The 23,319-nt window shown below is 37.5% G+C and overlaps 1 protein-coding gene across 24 annotated transcripts in view, besides 1 other annotated feature; it reads right to left on the bottom strand.

Annotated features, from left to right (window-relative positions):
* Positions 1 to 23,319, bottom strand: part of WDPCP (WD repeat containing planar cell polarity effector) — a 721,268-nt gene that overhangs the window by 289,342 nt on the left and 408,607 nt on the right. The gene's annotated exons all lie outside the window — the stretch shown is intronic.
* Positions 16,097 to 16,216: an enhancer, noted in NCBI's record as "active region_15875". NCBI's record gives its function as "activates an Ori minimal core promoter by ATAC-STARR-seq in GM12878 lymphoblastoid cells {active_cell/tissue: GM12878}" and the evidence as "EXISTENCE:reporter gene assay evidence [ECO:0000049][PMID:35858748]".

Below are 23,319 nucleotides of genomic sequence, written 5' to 3' on the forward strand. Positions count from 1 at the left end.
CAAGGAGAGTCTGAGCTCAGACACACCTAGCCCTGCTCCCACCTGATGGTCCTTCCCTACCCACCCTGGTAGTGGAAGACAAAGGGCATATAATCTTGGGAGTTCTAGGGCCCTGCTCACCACAGGTCCCTCTCCATAATACCACAGCTGATGCTCTCTGGAAAGCGCCACCTCCCGGCAGGAGGCCAACGACCACTAAAATAAAGCATTAAACCACCAAAGCTAAGAACCCTCACAAAGTCCACTGCATCCCCCACCACCTCCACCAGGACAGGCACTGGTATCCACGGCTGAGAGACCCACAGATGGTTCACATCACAGGACTCTGTGCAGACAACCCCCAGTACCAGACCAGAGCCAGGTAGACTTCCTGGGTGGCTAGACCCAGAAGAGAGACAACAATCACTGCAGTTTGGCTCACAGGAAGCCACATCCATAGGAAGAGGGGGAGAGTACTACATCAAGAGAACACGCAGAGGGACAAAAGAATCTGAACAACAGCCTTCAACCCTAGACCTTCCGTCTGACGGAGACTACCCAAATGAGAAGAAACCAGAAAACCAACTCTGGTAACAGGACACAACAAGGCTCTTTAGTACCCCCAAAAGATCACACTAGGTCGCCAGCAATGGATCCAAACCAAGAAGAAATCCCTGATTTACCTGAAAAAGAATTCAGGAAGTTAGTTATTCAGCTAATCAGGGAGGGACCAGAGAAAGGTGAATCCTAATGCAAGGAAATTCGAAAAACGATAGAAGTGAAAGGAGAAATATTCAAGGAAATAGAGAGCTTAAAGAAAAAACAGTGAAAAATTCAGGAAACATTGGAAACACTTATAGAAATGCAAAATGCTGTGGAAAGTATCAGCGATAGCATTAACAAGTAGAAGAAAGAAATTCAGAGCTGGAAGACAAAGTCTTCCAACAAAGGCAAAGAAAAAAGAATAAGAAAATATGAACAAAACCTCCAAGAAGTCTGGGATCACGTTAAATGACCAAACCTAAGAATAATTGGTGTTCCTGAGGAAGAAGAGAATTTGAAAAGTTTGGAAAACAAAATTGGGAGAATAATCAAGGAAAACTTTCCCAGCCTTGCTAGAGACATCCAAATACAAGAAGCACAGAAAACATCTGGGAAATTCATCGCAAAAAGATCATTGCTTAGGCACATTGTCATCAGGTTAAGACAAAGGAAAGAATTTTAAGAGCTGTGAGACAGAAGCACGTGGTAACCTAAAAAGGAAAACCTATCAGATTAACAGCAGATTTCTCAGCAGAAACCCTACAAGCTAGAAGGTATTGGGCTCCTATCTTCAGCCTCCTTGAACAAAACAATTATCAGTCAAGAATTTTGTATCCATTGAAACTAAGTATCATATGTGAATGAAAGATACAGTCTTTTTCAGACAAACAAATGCTAAGAGAATTTGCCACTACCAAGCAACCACTACAAGAACTGCTAAAAGGAGCTCTAAATCTTGAAACAAATCCTGGAAACACATCAAAACAGAACACCTTTAAAGCATAAATGACACGGGACCTATAAAACAAAAATACAACTTATAAAGCAAAACAATAAACAAAAAACCAAAAGTACACAGGCAACAAATAGCACTGTGAATGCAAGGGTGCCTCACATTTCAGTACTAACATTGAATGTAAACGGCCTAAATGCTCCACTTAAAACATACAGAACTACAGAATGGGTAAGAACTCACCTACCAACTACCTGATGCCTTCAGGAGACTCACTTAACACATAAGGACTCACATAAACTTCAAGTAAAGGGATGGAAAAAGGCATTTCATGCAAATGGACACCAAAGGTGAGTAGGGGTAGCTATTCTTATATCAGACAAAATAAACTTTAAAGCAACAGCAGTTAAAAGAGACAAAGAGGGACACTATATAATGGTAAAAGACCTTGCCCAACAGGAAAATATCACAGTCCTAAATATATATGCACCTAACACTGGAGCTCTCAAATTTATAAAACAATTACTAATTGACCTAACAAATGAGATAGATAGCAACACAATAATAGAGGGGGACTTCAATACTCCACTAACAGCACTAGACAGGTCATCAAGACAGAAAGTGAACAAAGAAAAAATGGATTTAAACTATACCTTGGAACAAATGGACTTAACATACAGAACATTTCATCCAACAACCACAGAATACACATTCTATTCAACAGCACATGGAACCTTCTCCAAGATAAACCACATGATAGTCCATAAAATGAACCTCAATAAATTGAAGAAAATTGAAATATCAAACACTCTCTTAGACCACAGTAGAACAAAACTAAAATTAACTCCAAAAGGAACCTTCAAAACCTTGCAAATACATGGAAATTTAATAACCTGCTCCTGAATAAGCACTGGGTCAAAAACAAAGTCAAGATGGAAATTTAAAAAATTCTTCGAACTGAACAACAATGACACAACCTACAAAAACCTCTGGGATACAGCAAAGGTGGTGCTAAGAGGAAAGTTCATAGCCCTAAACACCTACATCAAAAAGACTGAAAGAGCAGAAACTGACATTCTAAGGTCACTTCAAGGAATTACAGAAACAAGAACAAACCAAACCCAAACCCAGCAGAAGAAAGGAAATAATCAAGATCAGAGCAGAACTAAATGAAATTGAAACAAACAAAAATACAAAAGATAAATGCAACAAAAAGCTGGTGCTTTGAAAAGATCAATAAAAGTGATAGACCATTAGCAAGATTAACCAAGAAAAGAAGAGAGAAAATCCAAATAACCTCACTAATAAACGAAAAAGGAGACATTACAACTGACACCACTGAAATACAAAAGATCATTCAAGGCTACTGTGAACACCTTTACACACATAAACTAGAAAACCTAGAATAGAGGGAAAAATTCCTGGAAAAATACAACCCTTCTAGCTTAAGTCAGGAAGAATTAGATACCCTGAACAGACCAATAACAAGCAGTGAGATTGAAACGGTAATTTAAAAATTACCAACAAAAAAATGTCCAGGATCAGACGGATTCACAGCAGAATTCTAACGGACATTCAAAGAAGAATTGGTACCAATCCTTTTGATACTACTCCACAAGATAGAGAAAGGAACAACCTTCCCTACTTCATTCTATGAAGCCGGCATCACCCTAATACCAAAACCAGGAAAGGACATAACCAAAAAAGAAAACTACAGACCGATATCCTTGATGAACATTGATGCTAAACTCCTTAACAAAATAATAGCTAACTGAATCCAATAGCATATCGAAAAGGTAATCCACCATGATCAAGTGGGTTTCATACCAGGGATGCAGGGATGGTTTAACATACGCAAGTCAATAAATGTGATATACCACATAAACAGAATTAAAAACAAAAATCACATGATCATCTCAATAGATACAGAAAAAGCATTTGACAAAATCCAGCACCCCTTTATGATTAAAACTCTTAGCAAAATTGGCACACAAGGGACATATCTCAATGTAATAAATTTCATCTATGACAGTCCCACAGCCAACATAATACTGAATGGGGAAAAGTTGAAAGTATTCCCTCTGAAAACTGGAACAAGACAAGGATGCCCACTCTCACCACTCCTCTTCAACACAGTACTAGAAGTCCTAGCCAGAGCAGTCAGACAAGAGAAAGAAATAAAGAGCAACCAAATTGGTAAAGAGGAAGTCAAACTGTCACTGTTTGCTGACAACATGATTGTTTACCTTGAAAACTGTAAGTACTCCTCCAGAAAGCTCCTAGAACTGATAAAAGAATTCAGCAAAGTTTCTGTATACAAGATTAATGTACACAAATCAGTAGTTCTATACAACAGCATCCAAGCAGAGAATCAAATCAAGAACTCAACCCCTTTTATAATAGCTGCAAAAAAAAAAATGCTTAGGAATATACCTAACCAAGGAGTCGAAAGATCTCTACGAGGAAAATTATAAAACACTGCTGAAAGAAATCATAGATGACACAAACAAATGGAAACACATCCCATGCTCATCGATGGGTAGAATCAATGTTGTGAAAATGACCATACTGCCAAAAGCAATCTACAAATTCAATCCAATCCCCATCAAAATACCACCATCATTCTTCATGGAATTAGAAAAACAATTCTAAAATTCATATGGAACCAAAAAAGAGCCCACATAGCCAAAGCAAGATTAAGCAAAAAGAACAAATCTGGAGGCATCACACTACCTGATTTCAAACTATACTATAAGGCCATAGTCACCAAAAGAGCATGGTACTGGTATAAAAATATGCACACAGGCCAATGGAACAGAATAAAGAATCCAGAAATAAACCCAAATACTTACAGCCAACTGATCTTCGACAAAGCATACAAAAACATACAGTGGGAAAAGGACACCCTATTCAACAAATGATGCTAGGATAATTGGCTAGCCACATGTAGAAGAATGAAACTGGATCCTCATCTCTCACCTTGTACAAAAATCAACTCAAGATGGATGAAGGACTTAAACCTAAAACTTGAAACTATAAAAATTCTAGAAGATAACATTGGAAAAATCCCTCTGGACATTGGCTTAGGCAAGGATTTCATGACCAAGAACCCGAAGTCAAATGCAATAAAAACAAAGATAAGGCCGGGCATGGTGGCTCACACTTGTAATCCCAGCACTTTGGGAGGCCGAGACGAGCGGATCATGAGGTCAGGAGATCGAGACCATCCTGGCTAACATGGTGAAATCCCATCTCTACTAAAAATACAAAAAAATTAGCCAGGTGTGGTGGCGGGAGCCTGTAGTCCCAGCTACTCAGGAGGCTGAGGCAGGAGAATGGTGTGAACCTGGGAGGTGGAGGTTGCAGTGAGCCAAGATCCAGCCTGGGCTACAGAGTGAGACTCTGTCTCAAAAAACAAACAAACAAACAAACAAACAAAAACAAAGATAAATAGCTGGGACTTAATTAAACTAAAGAGCTTTTGCAAAGAACAAAAGGAACAGTCAGCAGAGTAAACAGACAACCCAGTGGGAGAAAATCTTCACAATCTGTACATCTGACAAAGGATTAATATCTAGAATCTACAACGACCTCAAACAAATCAATAAGAAAAAAAAAATCCCATAAAAAAAGTGGGCTAAGGACAGGAATGGACAATTCTCAAAAGAAGATACAGAAATGGCCAACAAACATATGAAAAAATGCTCCACATCACTAATGATCAGGGAAATGCAAATCAAAACCACAGTGCAATACCACTTTACTCCTTCAAGAATGGCCATAATCAAAACATAAAAAAACAGTAGATGTTGGCATGGATGCAGTGATCAGAGAACACTTCTATGCTGCTGTTGGGAACGTAAACTAGTACAGCCACTATGGAAAACAGTGTGGAGATTCCTTAAAGAACTAAAAGTAGAACTACCATTTGATCCGGCAATCCCACTACTGGGTATCTACCCAGAGGAAAAAAAGTCATTATATTAAGAAGATACTTGCATAGCACAATTCACAATTGCAAAATCGTGGAACAAATCCAAATGCCCATCAATCAACAAGTGGATAAAGAAACTGTGATATATATATACACACACATATACACACACACACACACACACACACATATATATACACACACACATATATACATATGATGGAATACTACACAGCCATAAAAAGGAATGAATTAACAGTATTTGCAGTGACCTGGATGAGATTGGAGACTATTATTCTAAGTGAAGCAACTCAAGAATGGAAAACCAAAAATCTTATGTTCTCACTGATATGTGGGAGCTAAGTTATAAAGATGCAAAGGCCTAAGAATGATACAAAGGACTGTGGGGACTTGGAGGAAGGAGTGGAAGGGGAGAAGCGATAAAAGACTACAAATATGGTGCAGTGTATACTGCTTGGGTGATGGGTGCACCAAAATCTCCCAAATCATCACTAAAGAACTTACTCATATAACCAAATACCACCTTTACCCCAATAAGTTATGGGAAAATAATAAAAAGAGGAGTAAGACCATGGACTTATGTACCCCCTTTCCCCAGCTGCCAATCCTAGATTACTCTTAAAAGCCAGTCAAGGCCAGAGGATCACTTGCTGTCTTCTCAACTAACTGTCCACGTAATGATAGATGGCTAACACTCATTTAAGGGTGGAAAATGTCTTGCACAGCATAATTAAAGATACCATAAAAGTTTAAAGATTAAAAAAATACTTTAGTATAATCCCAGTGCTTTGTAATGCCAAGGCGGGAGGATTACTTGAGCCCAAGGGTTTGAGACCCACCTGGGCAACTTAGCAAGACCTCGTCTCTACAAAAAAATTAAAAAATTAGCCAGGCACGGTGGCACGTACCTATAATCCTAGCTACTCAGGAGGCTGAGGTGGGAGGATCACTTGAGCACAGGAGTTTGAGGCTACAGTGAGCTAGTATCATGCCACTGCATTCCAGGCTGGGTGACAAAGCAAGACTGTCTATAAAAAAACAAAGGAAAATACTTGAATGTGCATAAGTTTCCGTAAAGAGTAACCTCACCAATAATAATAGTAGTAAGCAAGAAAATAGGATACTGTTTGACTTTTCATGCATTGTCTTATTTAACATTTTCAATACCCCAAAGTTAGGTATTATAATCTGCATTCTAAAGATAAGGAAAGTGAGGGTCAGAGATGGTATAAATTGCACCTGGTCCCACTAATAAGTGATAGAGTTGCAGTTTGAATCCAGGTCTGTCTGACTCTAAAAACTAAGATCTCTGCAAGACATGCTGCATGTTGTCAAGCATAGGTAACTAATAAGTTTACATGACTGTATCAGCTTTTCCTTTATACAATCAGAGAGAGGAAATGGGAACCACAGGGCACTGGGAACCTTAAGTGAGGCTGAGGGAGCCCCCACAGAAGAAAGAAGAGTGAGAAAAAGGTGAAGGGACTGAAAAGAGGGCAAATGATAGTAGAGCCTGTTAACTTTGGGGTGGAAAAGAAAGAAGCTTGTGCTTTTTGTCCAGTAGCTAATAATATAGGTAACTTTGCTCTGAATGGTTGAAAAAGTTTGGAAGGGGAAGTTCTTAATAAGCTGACTTCTCATAAAGATGCTTCATTCTTTTATTGATTGATTTGTACTAAAAATAAAGATAATGCTTTGTAAATGTAAATGAAAAAAATTCCTAAAATGAACCAAATAAAAACTAAATTATCTCCTCAAAACAAAAATTATACAAATACAAAACATTATTGCTAGTTTTGCATCTGTTTATATAGAAGATAAAAAGGAAAACTAAGTTCGTCCTATGCTGTTGCATGAAATCTTTTTTTTCCTTTTTTTTTTTTCTTTTGAAACAGAGTCTCGCTCTGTCACCCAGACTGGAGTGCAGTGGTGCAATTTCCATTCACTGCAACCTCCGCCTCCCGGGTTCAAGTGATTCTCCTGCCTCAGCCTCCCGAGTAGCTGCGATTACAGGTGCACACCACCACACCCAGCTAATTTTTGTATTTTTAATAGAGACAGGGTTTCGCCATGTTGGCCCAGCTGGTCTCGAACTCTTGACCTCAAGTGATCCACCTGCCTCAACCTCCCAAAGTGCTGGGATTACAGGTGCGAGCCACCACACTTGGATATGACATTAGCATTAACACCAAAAATACTTTTTTTTTTTTTTGAGACGGAGTCTCGCCCTGTTGCCCAGGCTGGAGTGCAATGGCACAATCTCAGCTCACTGCAACCTCCACCTCCCTGGTTCAAACGATTCTCATGCCTCAGCCTCCCGAGTAGCTGGGATTACAGGTCCCCGCCACCACGTCCAGCTAATTTTTGTATTTTTAGTAGAGACGGGTTTTCACCATGTTTGCCAGGCTGGTCTCGAACTCCTGACCTCGTGATCTGCCCACCTTGGCCTCCCAAAGTGCTGGGATTACAGGTGTAGGCCACCACACCTGGCCCAAAATACTTTTATGTTTAAAGTATTTTAAATACTTGGGTTCAGAATATAATTCCAAGTTGGACCTGACCCTGTATAACAGCCACAGACAACACCGTACAGTTAAAAAGGCAAATAACAGGGCCTGACCCCTTGTTTTGACAATAGAGAATGCTGGGATCTTGAGCAAGATCATCTCTTAGAACTGAAGTTTTCTCATCTCTAAAATAAGGATTTATTCACTTGTGTTACAAGATTGCTGCACAAATTAAAAATAATGTAACTAAATGCAGGGGACAGGAGCACTGAGTAAATAGCGGCTATTATTGTTGTTTCTAATGAGAAAGCCCTGGATTATTTGGCAAGAAGAGCAGAATGAAACAAAAAAAGAATGAAAAACACAGACACTAAATAAAATCCATATTTGGTTATTTAGAATTTATGGCTGATATTTATATAGTGCAAACTGTTTTAAACATAGTAAGGATGTAGCTTGGAAGTTAATATTAAACTCATTTAATTGATTTATGAAATTTAACCCTGTAGTTGGCATATGGTAGTAGCTCAATAAAACACTATTGATGGAATACATTTCAAATAAAATATACATTTCATCTTTAATTTCATAATTTTAAATTTATTTTTATTCATACTTAACAATGTGATTTTTAAAGATAACCAATATTATTAGAATGAAATATTTCTGTTTCTATGTCTATGAAATAATGAAAATAATGTCTATGAAAATAATAAATTTGTATACTGCTATGATAAAGGTATCATGTACTATAATAAACAAGAAACAAGAATAAGCATATAGAGATAATAAATCTGCACAGGGAAATGTTTATAAATAATTTGATTCACACAGCACAGACCCTTGGTGCAAAAGTTTAAGTTGATCAAGAAGACTGAAATGACATCAAATTATATTATATTAAATTATATTAATATTAATATATATTTATATATTAAATTATAGTAATATTTTTAATTGAAAGAAAAAGTAGATTGGAATTTCAATTAAAATTTTGAAATAAGACATTTTGTATTTAAAAAGTAGGGAGAAATGGACAATCATCAATAAAAATGGGCTCAGATAAAATATGGCAATCAATAGAAGAAAATTCATTCAGTTCTTCTAGGAAAATGCTAATGTGATAGACCAAGATGATAAAGTGCAAATACCTGCATTTTAGCAGCTTTAAAGTTATTAGAGTATACTCTGTTGACTAAAGAACTATATAAAGACAAAAATATGTGAATATATTTCCTAGCTATAAGACTTTCTGTTAGCAGATCCTTGCAAATAAGAAGGTGAAAACATCAAATAGAATTATGTAGTTATTGAAAATACCTAGAAAAAACCAGACTTTTAAAAATCCAAACTTGTCCATACTAAGACATCTCTCATCTTATATTCATGCAGCTGGTTTTTCTCCCAAAATCAGCTTAGGTTGAATTACTAGTCAAGAGATGACCAAGTCCAAGATATGATGCTAAGAAAAAAGAACGAAATATATGGTGTGTAATGAAGGGAGAAATGCTAAATGACAACGATCTGAACAAAAGCACAAAGGAGAAAGAAGAATCCAAAAAGATAGGATAGTGGTTGGTGACATTAGTGTAATCTATCAAGATTAATTTGAAGTCTACTCCCATCTTCCATGAGGCATGCTTATTGTTATCAACAAACCTCATGATCAAGAATTCCTTCACTTACTGGGTTCTTGGTCTTAATCCTGTCTTCAGGTACTTCCTAGACTTGGTGAATTCTGAAATCTAATAACTAAAGAGTCTTAAAATACATGTTGGGGATTTCAGGAACTGGTCATTAGAATTCAAAAGAGAATGCCTGTGATAACGAACAGGGTAAAAAGTTCTAACAAAGGCATGGTGAAAAGGCAAACAGTAAGAAGGGGAAAAACAGTATAGATAATTAAAGGAAGAAGAAAAAACTTTTATGAGGTGAAAAGTCTGATGAAAGTCTAAAAATCTAAAGGAAAATATCTCTGTTTTAATTCTAAGGCAATAGGGTAGGACAAAGAAGAAAAGCACAGAAACACAGGCAGTGAGTTAGCTAAACCACAGGCTACGCAGTATTAAAAATGGCCAGGGAGGGAAGACTGTTACACAAGAAACGGATGGCCAGCGTCCAGTGTTTTGTTTTTCTTGTTTGTTTTTTTGCTTTTAAAGAAAACTGTGTGGTAAAGAAAGAAATGGTGAGAACTGAAAAATTCAAACTAACAAAGAGTAGAAAAGATAAAGAGTCCCTAAAAGTCCTGGGATTTCCCAATTTCAAAGATGAACAAGGTAGTAGTTTATCCTTCAGTGTATCTTTTGTTTTTGTTTTTGTTTTTTGAGATGGAGTCTCACTGTGTCACCCAGGTTGGGGTGCAGTGCTGTGATCTTGGCTCACTGCAACCTCCACCTCCCGGGTTCAAGCAATTCTCTGCCTCAGCCTCCCGAGTAGCTGGGATTACAGGCACCCACCACCATGCCCAGCTAATTTTTGTATTTTTAGTAAAGACGGGGTTTCATCATCTTGGCCAGGCTGGTCTTGAACTCCTGACCTCATGATCCACTGGCCTTGGCCTCCCAAAGTGCTGGGATTACAGGTGTGAGCCACTGCGCCCGGCCCCTTAAGTGTATCTTAAAGTGATTGTTTCAGCCAACTATAAATCAGTCATACATTGTCTTATTTAAGGTTGAAACCTGCTGAAAAATGCATCACTGAAATGATTCATTTTCATTTTTAAAAAGCTACATTTGAAAAATGTAGTTAGAATTGATCCAAATGCCATCAAAGATGGAAGAAAAATAATCAGTCAACATGATTGACGCCAATCTCTGGAAGATATTTAAAATCAGGAAAACACAAAAAGCAGAAAAACAATAGTCAGAGATAGGCTTAAGATCCTCATGTTTCATGTTTCAGGTATGGAATATATCTATTATAATCCTTTTAAGGTCACCTGATATATAAATCAGGAAAAAAAATTACTTAAAGAGTGGCCTTTTCTGGAACTGAAAACTTTCACCAGTAAGTGCCAGTAAGTAACCAAGATGTTTCATTTTCCTGTAGGTAAACATTTAATGTTTCGATTATTTTTTGCTATTACATATTTTTTGCTATTACAATCATTTAAAATATTATGCAGCAACCAAAAGTTCTTAGCTTATCAGCAGAATTTTTTTCTGAAATCTATTTCCCTCCTTACTTTGTGGAAATTTTTAGAAACAGGAGATAAAAGGTATACTTTATTTTTACTTTTTTAAAAGGTACACTTTATTTTTACTTTTTTAAAAGGTACACTTTATTTTTACTTTTTTACCATGATGCATTCAAAACACATAAAATCAGAATAATATGATAAATGTGAAAACCAGTTTCATGAAATACTATCCTTTTGCTTCATTTCTTTTAATGAAATAAATATTGGCCAGGCATGGTGGCTCACGCCTGTAATCCCAACACTTGGGGAGGCCAAGGTGGGCAGATCACCTGAGGTCAGGAGTTTGGGACCAGCCTGACCAACATAGAGACACCCCATCTTTACTTAAAAAAAAAAAAAAACAGAAAAATTAGCCGGCTATGGTGGCACATGCCTGTAATCCCAGCTATTCGGGAGGCTGAGGCAGCAAAATCACTTGAACCCGGGAGGTGGAGGTTGTGGTGAGCCGACACGGCACCATTGCACTCCAGCCTGGGCAACAGAAGTGAAACTCCATCTCAAAAAAAAAAAAAAAGAATGAAAGAAATATCATAGATAAAGTTAAGGCCTGCCAAATCCTATTCCCTTGCCTCTCTCCCCAGATGCAACACTATTATGAATTTGGTATTTAATCCTATGCATACTACTACTTCATCATCAATCAAGAACAATGTGTTATAGCATTATCCTGAATGTTTTAAAATTTTATGTAAATGTTATTGTATTTTGTCATACTGTAATTTTTTTGCTCAACTTATTCTTTTCAGATTTCACATGATCACATAGCTCTAGTTCAGTCATTTAAACTGCTGTAGAGCATTCCACCCTCTGAATTCACCACAAGATGTTTTCATTTTCCTGTTGGTAGGCATTTAAGTTGTTTCTAATGTATTTTTACTATTACAGTGATGCTATGAACACTATTGTACATGCCTCTTTGTGCACATGGGCCAGTTTTTCTTAGTGTAGGACACTCACCTTCAATTATATTACCTATTGCTAAACTGCTCTCCATTAAAGTTTACTGATTTACTCTACCATAATAGTGAATGAGAGTTCCCTATTGCTCTACATCTTTACTTATTCAAATTATCAATTAAAAACAAAATAGTAGCAATTGTTTTCAAATGGATACCTCTCTTATTTGTAATCGTTTTCAATGAAATCTGTCATTTGTATACAGGATAAATATATAAATGTCTTACCAGAATAAAAAGAAAAGTTTAGAAAAACATACATATTTACTAGTAAGTATAAGCATTTTCTTATGCATACTTTTGGGCATGTGAAAGTTACAAATTATGTTTATATTAATAAAATCCTCCAATCCACAGAACTAGTTGTTATAACAGTCAACACAATATATTAAAAACTTTATTTCATTAAAAAAACAGGCAAATAGATCAATGGAACAGAACAGAAAGCCCAGAAATAGACCCACACAAATATAATCAACTGATATTTGACAAAGTAGCAAAGGCAATTCAATGCAGAAAGGATAGTCTTCTCAAGAAATAGTGGTGGAACAGCTGGACATCCACATGCAAAAATGTGAATCTAAACACAGGCCTTAAGCTTTCACAAAAAGTTGGTTCAAACTAAAGGTGTTCATCATGACCATAAACACGGCATCCCTAATTCTGGAGAGTTGTCACGAGGAGTACTACAGATTTTTAATGTCTCTAAGTCCCCACATAAAACAGACAGTTAAACTAAAGGGCAAAACCCAAAACCTACAGACAACTAGATGAAGATTAAAAGAAAGAGAACATTACATGTAGTGGTAGTAATAGCATGATTATCTTGAAACTGTTAAGTGTGTACTGTGGGTTAAAGTAAATGAGAAATTATGGGATATTCCTATTCATCCCGTGTCCCTACAAACTAGGATTTTTGATACAGAAAGAAGGAGATATAAATGTAATACAGAAGAGGTTAAATTAAAAACTCTGTAGTCCTGAATTTGAGTTGTAAGTGTTGGCATGGACTCATTACGAATATGTATATGTATAAAATCTCCAACTCTTTCTACTGAAGAAACCTAGAAACAATAATCAACCCAAAAACAACAGCCTAATATCCCTAACACCCTGACTCAGGCGTAAAATACCATTTTCCATTAAAAAGGAAACCACAGTGTCTTGGAGAAATGACTAATTCCAGGTGTGGGGCAGAAAATATACAAGATAAACAAGGAATATACTATCACACCAGATAGCAGAGAAGCTACCCAAGACTGCTGAGGCCATACAAAAAGAACAGCCAACCTGAAGAGCCTCCCACTGGCCTAAGATGGGACAATCTGAGCTTCCAAAGGATTACAATTATAATTTAGGACCCCATCAAATCAAATGTATTAAAATTCATGAATTAATAATGCTATTTTAAAAACAAAAGCTAACAGGGCACCTTCAGAAAGTACTAGAGAATCAATTCATTATCTCAAAAACTGGTAAATAGAAAATAAACAGACATTTGTCCTGTTTACCCTATATAAGTACAACCATTGGGAAACACATAGGAGTTGAGTGGAAGTGTCTCTTTATAGAAGTATCCCAAGTAATCAATGAAAAATAAATAACATAATTATAATATTACCATTTTGCAACCCTAATGAATTAATGGATCTAGGCATTGAACATTGAATAGCTGCTAACATCAAAAAAGAGAAAGAACTGAGAGAAAATATGAAATTATGTGCCTCCTGACGAAAGACACACCATCTCATATAGTCTTGCCAAAACTGACTACTAACTTGAGGAATTTTCAAATAACAGAGAAACATATTGAACCAAACATGAATATGCAAGCAATAAAATCCAGACTGTGGGACACTACAGTTTCAACAGACAAATTTTACAGAAAAAGAAAGGATGGATGGGGGACTTCTACATTAAAAGAGATTTAAGATATACATTAAAATGTCTTAAGTGGCTAATATTAAACTATGGTTTCTGGGGATGCACACTCGGTGATAAAAGCTATATGGGTATACAAGAAAGTGATAAAAAGTCATGATAGTAGTTACTTTGGAGGACAGGGAAGAGGTTAAGATCATGACAGAGCACATGGAGGTACTTCTGGGTGCCTGCACAGTTCTATTTCCTCACTTGGGTGGTGGTTTCAGGAGTGTTTCCTTTGTAATAGCTCATTAAACTATGCATTTATTTTGTGTGGTTTTATGTGTGCTTTATTTTATAATAAAGAGGTTTCTTTAAAAATTGCCATCCCTAAAGCAGAATATCTTTGTCACTGGTTGAAAGCTAACACAGTATATGCATTTTTGGGGAAGACAGGTTTCTTAAGTATTTTGCCTTTACAGTTGGATGCATTTATAATGCCTTCTGAATGCCTATTGTGACAAATTACATTAATAGTTGGTTACATTATTACTTTCCCATAAGTTACTGCTCTTGAAAAATCCCTGGAAAATTAGTTTTTTCTTCTTATGGGAAAATTGTTTTCATAATGTTATGTTTCCCTGACAACATATTTTAAGGTTTAATAGCTCTGCTTATATATTTTTGGTTAATTTGGTAAACAAATTCAAGGACCTGTTCTGAGTAAGAGATCATGAAATTACCACCATACTCAGAAAGCATTATCAAGTCTACACATCTGAAAAGTTAAAGTACCTGCTTAGATACTAAAGGGCAGAATAAGTTGCCATCACGTGATTGATACTGGTTCACATTACTGATAAAAGTTGGTTCAAGCTGAAGGTGTTTGTTGACAAATGAATTAGGTGACAAAGCAAATGAATAAAATACTAGTTCTAGGAGGATGGTAATAACTTTCCAAAAAGAAATATTAAAAGTATGTGGAGATTAATGAGGGATAAGATGGCCAACTAGACACAGCCAGGACGTACCTCTACCACTGAGAGAGACGAAAATATTGAGTAAGCCAAGGTACTTGGAACAGATCTTCAGAGAAAAAACACTGACATTCAATAGAGAGGGATATAGACACGAAGCTGAAGATGGAAGAAACTAGGAACCCTGCATAGGACTGCTGAGCACCAGGACAGCAATCCTGGCCCTGAACAGCTCCTAAGGAAGGGGTGAGTGAAGTGATGGCAGGGGAACGCTCTCTCGCCGCTTACCTCTGGGATTCTAGCTACAAGAGATCCCACAACCCCCATACACGTTTGAATTGGCAGGGGTATCTGCCCAGAGAGTAAGCAGAGACAAAGCTTCAGCCAGCATGGAGCCCAGGGAGGCGCGCGGTGTGTGTTGGGGGCGGGGGTGGGAGAGGGGGTGTGCGTCAGCCCTTGTAAGTGGGGCAGCTGCAGCAAAATGTGGTCATAGGTTCTCCATTTTCCTCCAGGTAGTTCTATCCCCCAACTGACCACTGAGCCAGGAGAGAAGAGGACTGTCTTTCTCATAAGACTGAGGCATGACTGTTCTTCACACCCTCGTTGTCCACCAGCCCCTCCCAAGGCCCCGCTTGGCCACTCCTGCAAGAGTGTGTACATAGCACAGCCTCCACTGCCCAGCCTGAGTGCTTTGCTGGTGGCCTTGGAGCACTTTGACTGCCCCAATATGGCCGGTACCCAAACCAGGGGCCAGAGAGCGAAGCTGCAGGCCCAGTCCCAATCCCCCAGGGTTACAGCACACAGCTCAGGGGAGCCAAGCTGAGATCTGTGGCCAGCATGTAAGCGGGGGAAGAGCTCCCACTTTCAGAACACTCAGAAGAGTGAAACATGGGTATTCGTGGGCTGGTGTGGGCCTGGGGCATGCCTCCCTCCACAGGGTTATCTGGGAAGGGTATAGCCTGTCTGCCAGCCACAGCCCCTATCTAAGAAAGCCTGAGGCCTAGAATACCTAACAAAGGTATTGGGCGCGGTGCGAGTGATCGGAGGGGGATCCCCAAGGCCCGGGAATGGATCTGGCGAGGGGCTTATCTTTCCCCCTACACCACAGAGAGATGCTGCGAATGTGCTGAAATACAAGAGCCACGTGGCTAAGAACTTATCTGCCAGTCATTACTCTTAAGCGCCATCTACTGGATTGCAGCCTAAATTACAACACAAAAAATACTCTTCCAGTATACATAGCTTGTGAAACCGAGAGCAAGAATCTAGCCACACATGAAGATCCTGTGCAGACACTTGGCCTTCTGAAAGCATCCAGAAACAAAGCCTATTGACTATACTCAACTTGAACCACAGTTAAAAACTCAAGGGAAATAAATTATATAAAAACAAAAAGCCCCATTCAACGACAGCAAATCCAAAAAGACAATACCAGCCCGCTCAGATGAGAAAGGATCCGCACAAGAACTTTGGTGATTCAAAAGTCAGAGTGTCCCCCTACCTCCAAACAAGTACACTAGCTCCCTAGCAACAGTTCTTTACCAGATTGAAGCAACAGAAATGGCAGACATAGAATTCAGAATCTGGGTGGCAATGAAGCTCATCAAGATTCAGCAGAAAGTTGAAACCCAATAGAACCCAGTGAATCCAGTAAAATGATTCAAGAGTAGAAAGATAAAACAGCCATTTTAAGAAACAACCAAACTAAACTTCTGAAACTGAAAAATTCACTACAAGAATTTCAAAATACAATTGGAAGCATTAACAACATAATAGACTAAACTAGGAAAAGAATCTCAGAACTCAAAGACCAGTTCAAATCAACTCAGTAAGACAAACAATTTTTAAAAGAATTTTTAAAAATGAGTAAAACCTCTACAAAATATGGGATTATGTAAAGAAATCAAACCTATGACTCACTGGCATTTCTCAGAGGGAAGAAGAGAGAGTAAGCAACTTGGAAAACATATTTGAGAATACAGTCCAAGAAAACATTCCCAATCTCCCTAGAGAGACTGATATGCAAATTCAAGAAATACAGAGAACCCATGCAAGATACTATAAAAGACAACCATCCCCAAGGCACATACTCTTCAGATTGCCCAAAGTCAACATCAAAGAAAAAATCTTAATGGGGCCTAGACAGAAGGGTCAGGTCACTTACAAAGGGAACTACGTCAGGCTAGCAACAGACCTCTCAGCAGAAACTTAAAAGGCAAAAGAGGAGGCCGGGCATGGTGGCTCACGCCTGTAATCCCAGCACTCTTGGGAGGCCGAGGCAGGCGGATCATGAGGTCAGGAGTTCGAGACCAGCCTGGCCAATATGGTGAAACCCCATTTCTACTAAAAATTACAAAAATTAGCTGGGCGTGGTGGCGCACACCTGTAGTCCCAGCTACTCAGGAGTCTGAGGCAGGGGAATCGCTTGAACCCAGTTTAAGCGGAGGTTGCAGTGAGCCAAGATCACATCACTGCACTCCAGCCTAGGTGACAGAGTGAGACTCTGTCTCAAAAAAAAACAAAACAAAACAAATGGCAGAAGAAATAGGTTAGGGGCCTATTTTCAGCAACTTTAAAGAAAAGAAATTCCAACCAAGAATTTCATATCTCACCAAACTAAGCTTCATAAGTGAAGAAGAAATAAAATCCTTTTCAAACAAGTAATGCTAAGGGAATTCATTACCAGTACACCAGCCTTACAAGAGGTCCTTAAGGGAGTGCTAAACATAGAAACAAAAGAACAATACCTGCTACCACAAAAACACAAGTAAGCACATAGCCCACAAATACTATAAAGCAACTACACATCAAAAGCAACTAAACATCATCTACAAAACAACCAGCTAGTAACACAATGACAGCATCAAAATCTCACATATCAGTATTAACTTTGAATGTAAATGGTCCTGACATCCCACTTAAAAGGCATGGAGTTGCAAGTTGAATAAAAAGACAAGGTCCAAGTGTTTATTGTCTTTAAGAGAGCCAATTCACATTTAACAACACCCACAAGCTCAAATTAAGGAGAAAGATCTATGAAAGGGGAAAGAAACTATGGAGAAAGATCTATCATGCAAACAGAAATCAAAAAAGAGCCGGGGCCACTATTCTTACATCAGATAAAACAGACTTTAACAATAGTCGAGAAGGACAAAGAAGGGTATTACATAATAACAATAAAAAAAGGTTCGATTCAACAAGATGATCTAACTATCCTAAATATATATGCATCCAACACTGGAGCACCCACATTCATAAAACAAATTCTTCTTGACCTATGTGAAAGACTTAGCCGCACAATAATAGAGAGACTTCAACAACCCACTGATAGCATGTGACAGATCATCAAGGCAGAAAATTAAAAATGAAGTTCTGGACTAAATTGCAACACTTGACCAATTGGACCTGATAGACATATAAGAGAATACTCCACCCAACAACCACAGAACATACATTCTTCTCATCTGCACAAGGGACACACTGAAAAACTGACAACCTCCTTAGCCATAAAGCAAGTATCAATAAATTTTTTTAAAAATCAAAATCATACCAACTATACACTTGGACTACATTGCAATAAAAATAGAAATCAATACCAAAAGTTCTCCCAAAACCACAAAATTACATGGAAATTAAACAACTTACTCCTGAATGACTTTTGAGTAAACAATGAAATTAAGGCAGAAATTTTAAAATTTTTTGAAATCAACGAAAACAGAGACACAACATACAAAATCTCTGGGTGAAAGGAATGTTAAGAGGAAAATTTCCCGCAGTAAATGCCTACATCACGAAGTTAGAAAGCTCTCAAATTAACAATCTAACATTGCACCTAGAGGAACTAGTAAAAAAATAACAAATGAACCCCAAAGGTAGCAGTAGAAAAGAAAGCCAAAATCAGAGAACAGAACAAAATTGAAACACAAAAATCCATACAAAAGATCAATGAGACCAAAAGTTGTTTTCTGAGAGAATAAACAAGATTAATAGAGTGCTAGCTAGATTAATAAGACAAAAAGAAAGAAGATCCAAATAAGCAGAATCAGAAATGACAAAGATGACATTACAACTGATCCCAGAGGAATGCAAAAGATCCTTAGAGACTATTATGAACATCACCATGCATAAAACTTAGAAAATCTGTAGGAAATAGATACATTCCTGGAAACACACAACCCCTCAAGATTGAACCAGAAAGAAAGTGAAAACCTGAACAGACCAATAATGTGTTCCGAAATTGAATCAGTAATAAAAATCCTACCAACCAAAAAAAGCCTTGGACCAGATGGATTCACAGCCGAATTCTACCAGACGTAAAAAGAAGAACTGGTACCAATCCTATTGAAACTATTCCAAAAAAAAAAAAAAATTGAGGAGGAGGGACTCCTCCCTAACTCATTCTACGAAGCCAGCATCATCCTGATACCAAAATCTGGCAGAGACACAACAAAAAAAGAAAACTTCAGGCCAATATCCCTGATGAACACAGATGCAAAAATCCTCAACAAAACACTAGAAAACCAAATCCAGCAGTACATCAAAAAGTTAATTCACCACAATCAAGTAGGTTTTATCCCTGGGATGCAAGGTTGGTTCAACATACACAAATCGATAAATGTGATTTGTCACATAAACAGAACTAAAGACAAAACCACATGATTACCTCAATAGATGCAGAAAAGGCTTTCAATACAATCCAACATCCTTTCACAACACCCAACAAACTCGGTATCGAAGGAACATACCTCAACATAATAAAAGCCATCTATTTCAAACCCACAGCCAACATCATACTGAATGAGCAAAAGTTGGGAGCATTCTCCTTGAAAACTGGAACAAGACAAGGATGCCTACTCTCACCACTCCTGTTCAATATAGTACTGGAAGTCCTTGCCAGGGTAATCACGCAAGATTTTTCTACACCAGTAATGTCCAAATCAAGATTGCAATCCCATTCACAATAGCCACAAAAAGAATAAAATGCCTAAGAAGACAGCTAACAAGGGAGGTAAAAGATCTCTGCAATAAGAACTACGAAATACTGCTGAAAGAAATCAGAGACAACACAAATAAATGGAAAAACATTCCATGCTCAGAGATTGGAAGAATCATTCTTGTTAAAATGGCCATAATGCCCAAAGCAACCTAGAGATGGAACAGAATAGAGAACCCAGAAAAAAAGTCACACACCTACAACCATCTTGTTCTTCAACAAACTTGACAAAAATAAGCAATGGGGAAAACACTCCCTATTCAATAAATAGTGTTAGGATAGCTGGCTATTCATGTGCAGAAGAATGAAACTGGAACCCCTCCTATCAGCATAAACAAAAATTAATTCACGATTAAATTAAACAAAAATTAATTCACTTAAAAAACTTAAAGGTAAGACCTCAAACTATAAATATCCTACAAGGAAACCTAGGAAACACCCTTCTCAATATCAGTCTTAGCAAAGAATTTATGGTAAAGTCCTCAAAAGCAAATACAAGAAAAACACAAATTAAGAGGGGCCTAATTAAACTAAAGAGCTTCTACACAGCAAGAAACACTATAAAGAGAGTAAACAGACAACCTACAGAATGAGAGAAAATATTTGTAAACTGTGCATCCAACAAAGGTCTAATACATAGGATCTATAAGGAACATAAACAAATCAAGAAGCAAAAAACAAATAACCTCTATAAAAAGCGGGCAAAGGACATGAATTTCTCAAAAGAAGACATACAAATCGCCAACAAACATATGAAAGAATGCTCATAATCACTAATCATCAGAGAAATGCAAATCAAAACCAAAATGAGATACCATCTCACACCAGTCAGAATGGCTTTTGTTAAAAGTCAAAAAATAACAGAAATTGGTGACGCTGCAGAAAAAAAGGGATACTTACACACTGTTGGTGGGTATGTAAATTAGTCCAGCCACTGTGGAGTGCAGTCTGGAAATTTCTCAAAGAACTAAGAGTTGAACTACCATTCGACCTAGCCATCCTATTACTGGGTATACACTGAAAAGAAAATAAATCATTCTACCAAAAGGACGTGTGCACCTGTAAATTCACTGCAGTGCTATTCACAATAGCAAAAACATGGAATCCACCCAGGTGCCCATCGAATGGTGGACTGGATAAAGAAAATGTTATACACACACACACACACACACACACACACACACACACACACACACACACCATGAAATACTATGCAGCCATAAAAAAGAACAAAAGTATGTCCTTTCTAGCAACAGGGATACAGCTGGAGGCCACTAAGTGAATTAATGCAGGAACAGAAAGGTAAATACAACAGTTCTCTCTTATAAGTGGGAGCTAAACACTGGGTATACACGGACATAAAGAGGGAAACAATATACAGTGGGGACTAATAGTAGAGCAGGGAGAGAGGGAGGAGGACAAGGACTAAAAAACTACCTACTGGGTACTATGCTCACTACCTGGGTGATGGTTTCGATCATACCCCAAACCACAGCAACCTGCAATATACCTTTGTTAACAAGCCTGCACAAGTACCTCCCAATTCTAAAATAAGTTGAAAAATAAAAGAAAGAGTATGTGGAAATTCAAATGAAAACAACTACCATGTTATATGTGATGATCTACATAGAGAACATTAAAATATATTAATATTTTTAAATGAATTTACTGACAAAATTTTTTTCTGTACTATTTACTGTATATTTTTCAAAAGAATTTTTTCTTAGACTACATAATTCTCTCTGTTCTGTTCTTCTAATTAAGATATGGACTGTTGGGCTGGGCGTGGTGGCTCATGCCTGTAATCCCAGCACTTTGGGAGGCCGAGGCGGGCAGATCATGAGGTCAAGAGATCGAGACCATCCTGGCCAACATGTTGAAACCCTGTCTCTACTAAAAATACAAAAACTAGCTGGGCGTGGTGGTGCATGCCTGTAGTCTCAGCTACTTGGGAGGCTGGGGCAGGATAATCACTTGAACCTGGGAGGCGGAGATTGCAGTGAGCTGAGATTGCGCCACTGGACTCCAGCCTGGTGACAGAGCGAGACTACGTCTAAAATATATGTGTGGACTGTTGTTTAGAGTTCTGTGGTGTGAAATTAGACCAGCAGTTTTCTAATATCCATAAAATAATTTAAAAATGTTTCTCCTCTGAAAATCACATAATTCAGTCACAGAGAGCTTATTTCTATGTTTCCTTTGTTTTGTTTTGTTTTCAGCTGCTTGGTAAGCCAATTTTCTACTTAGAATCTACTGTTAAAACTCGCATTTGGTTCAGTATGTGGGCTTTATCCTTTTCATGGTCTGTTATGTAAAAAAGATGGCTTAAAAAACATTTTTTTTAAGTTTGCTGTATAGCAGTGGTTCTCAACTTGGATGCCCACGAAAATCGCCTAGGGAACCTGTAAAAGATACTGATACTCCCTCCCCTCCAGAGATTCTGATGTAACTGGTCTGGGTGGGCCTCTTTTAAAAGCTCTGTAGGTGATCTTAATGTGTTGTCAAAGCTAGGAACTACTGCTCTAGGATCCTGCCATTGTCCAAATAAAAGCTTATCTTTTCTGATAGAACCTAGATGGTAAATGCTTTTTAAAAATTCTATAGTAGATCCAATGATTAAATTTCTTCTCTACAAGGCTGTTTTCTTTTTTTAGTTTGAATTTTAGGGTTTAAGAGCATATTGTATCTTTATTCTGATGATTAGTCCAAGAAGTCCCTTGGCTGCTACTGAAAAAAAAAAAAAATTAAAGGAATATGCCTGAATACTACTTTAATAGACTGGTACTTTTGGTTCACGATATTCTAAAAAAAATTCTATACTTCGTATTTAAAGATTATGTCTTCACACACACACACACACAAGAAAAACAATTAATGCCCTAGAAATTTCTTCTACAAGATTATACTTTTTGCATAATGACTTTCACATGAAGCTCTAAAAAAGAAATCTTTACAAATTTTTCCAGTTGCTAGAATAACTAAAAGGGCCAATTCCTAAAACAAAAGCTCTTGAGAAAAAAATGAATTATATATCTTAATAAGATCAAAAGGGAGGAAATTATACAATCAGTGGTGAATAAAGAATCATGTAGAAATTTGCATACAACTTTATGAAAAAATATTCAAATGCATAAAATGAATAATTTTCTATAAACACCAATTGTGGAAAAAAAAGGAAAAAAACAACCCTTTAAAAATGGAATCAGTAATGAAAAAAATCTACCCTCCTTAAAAGACGTCACACCCAGGAAGTTTTACAGGTAAGTTTTATCAAACTTTCAAGTATCAATTCCTTTTGGTACTGTTACAGAGAGGAGAAAAGGAAAAAGCTAGCCAAATCGTTCCACAGAGCTAATAATATCAACTCTAGAAAGGTGAGATAAGAAAGGATAATT

The sequence above is a fragment of the Homo sapiens genome, chromosome 2, assembly GCF_000001405.40.
Source record: "Homo sapiens chromosome 2, GRCh38.p14 Primary Assembly".
Taxonomy (NCBI): Eukaryota; Metazoa; Chordata; class Mammalia; order Primates; family Hominidae; genus Homo; species Homo sapiens.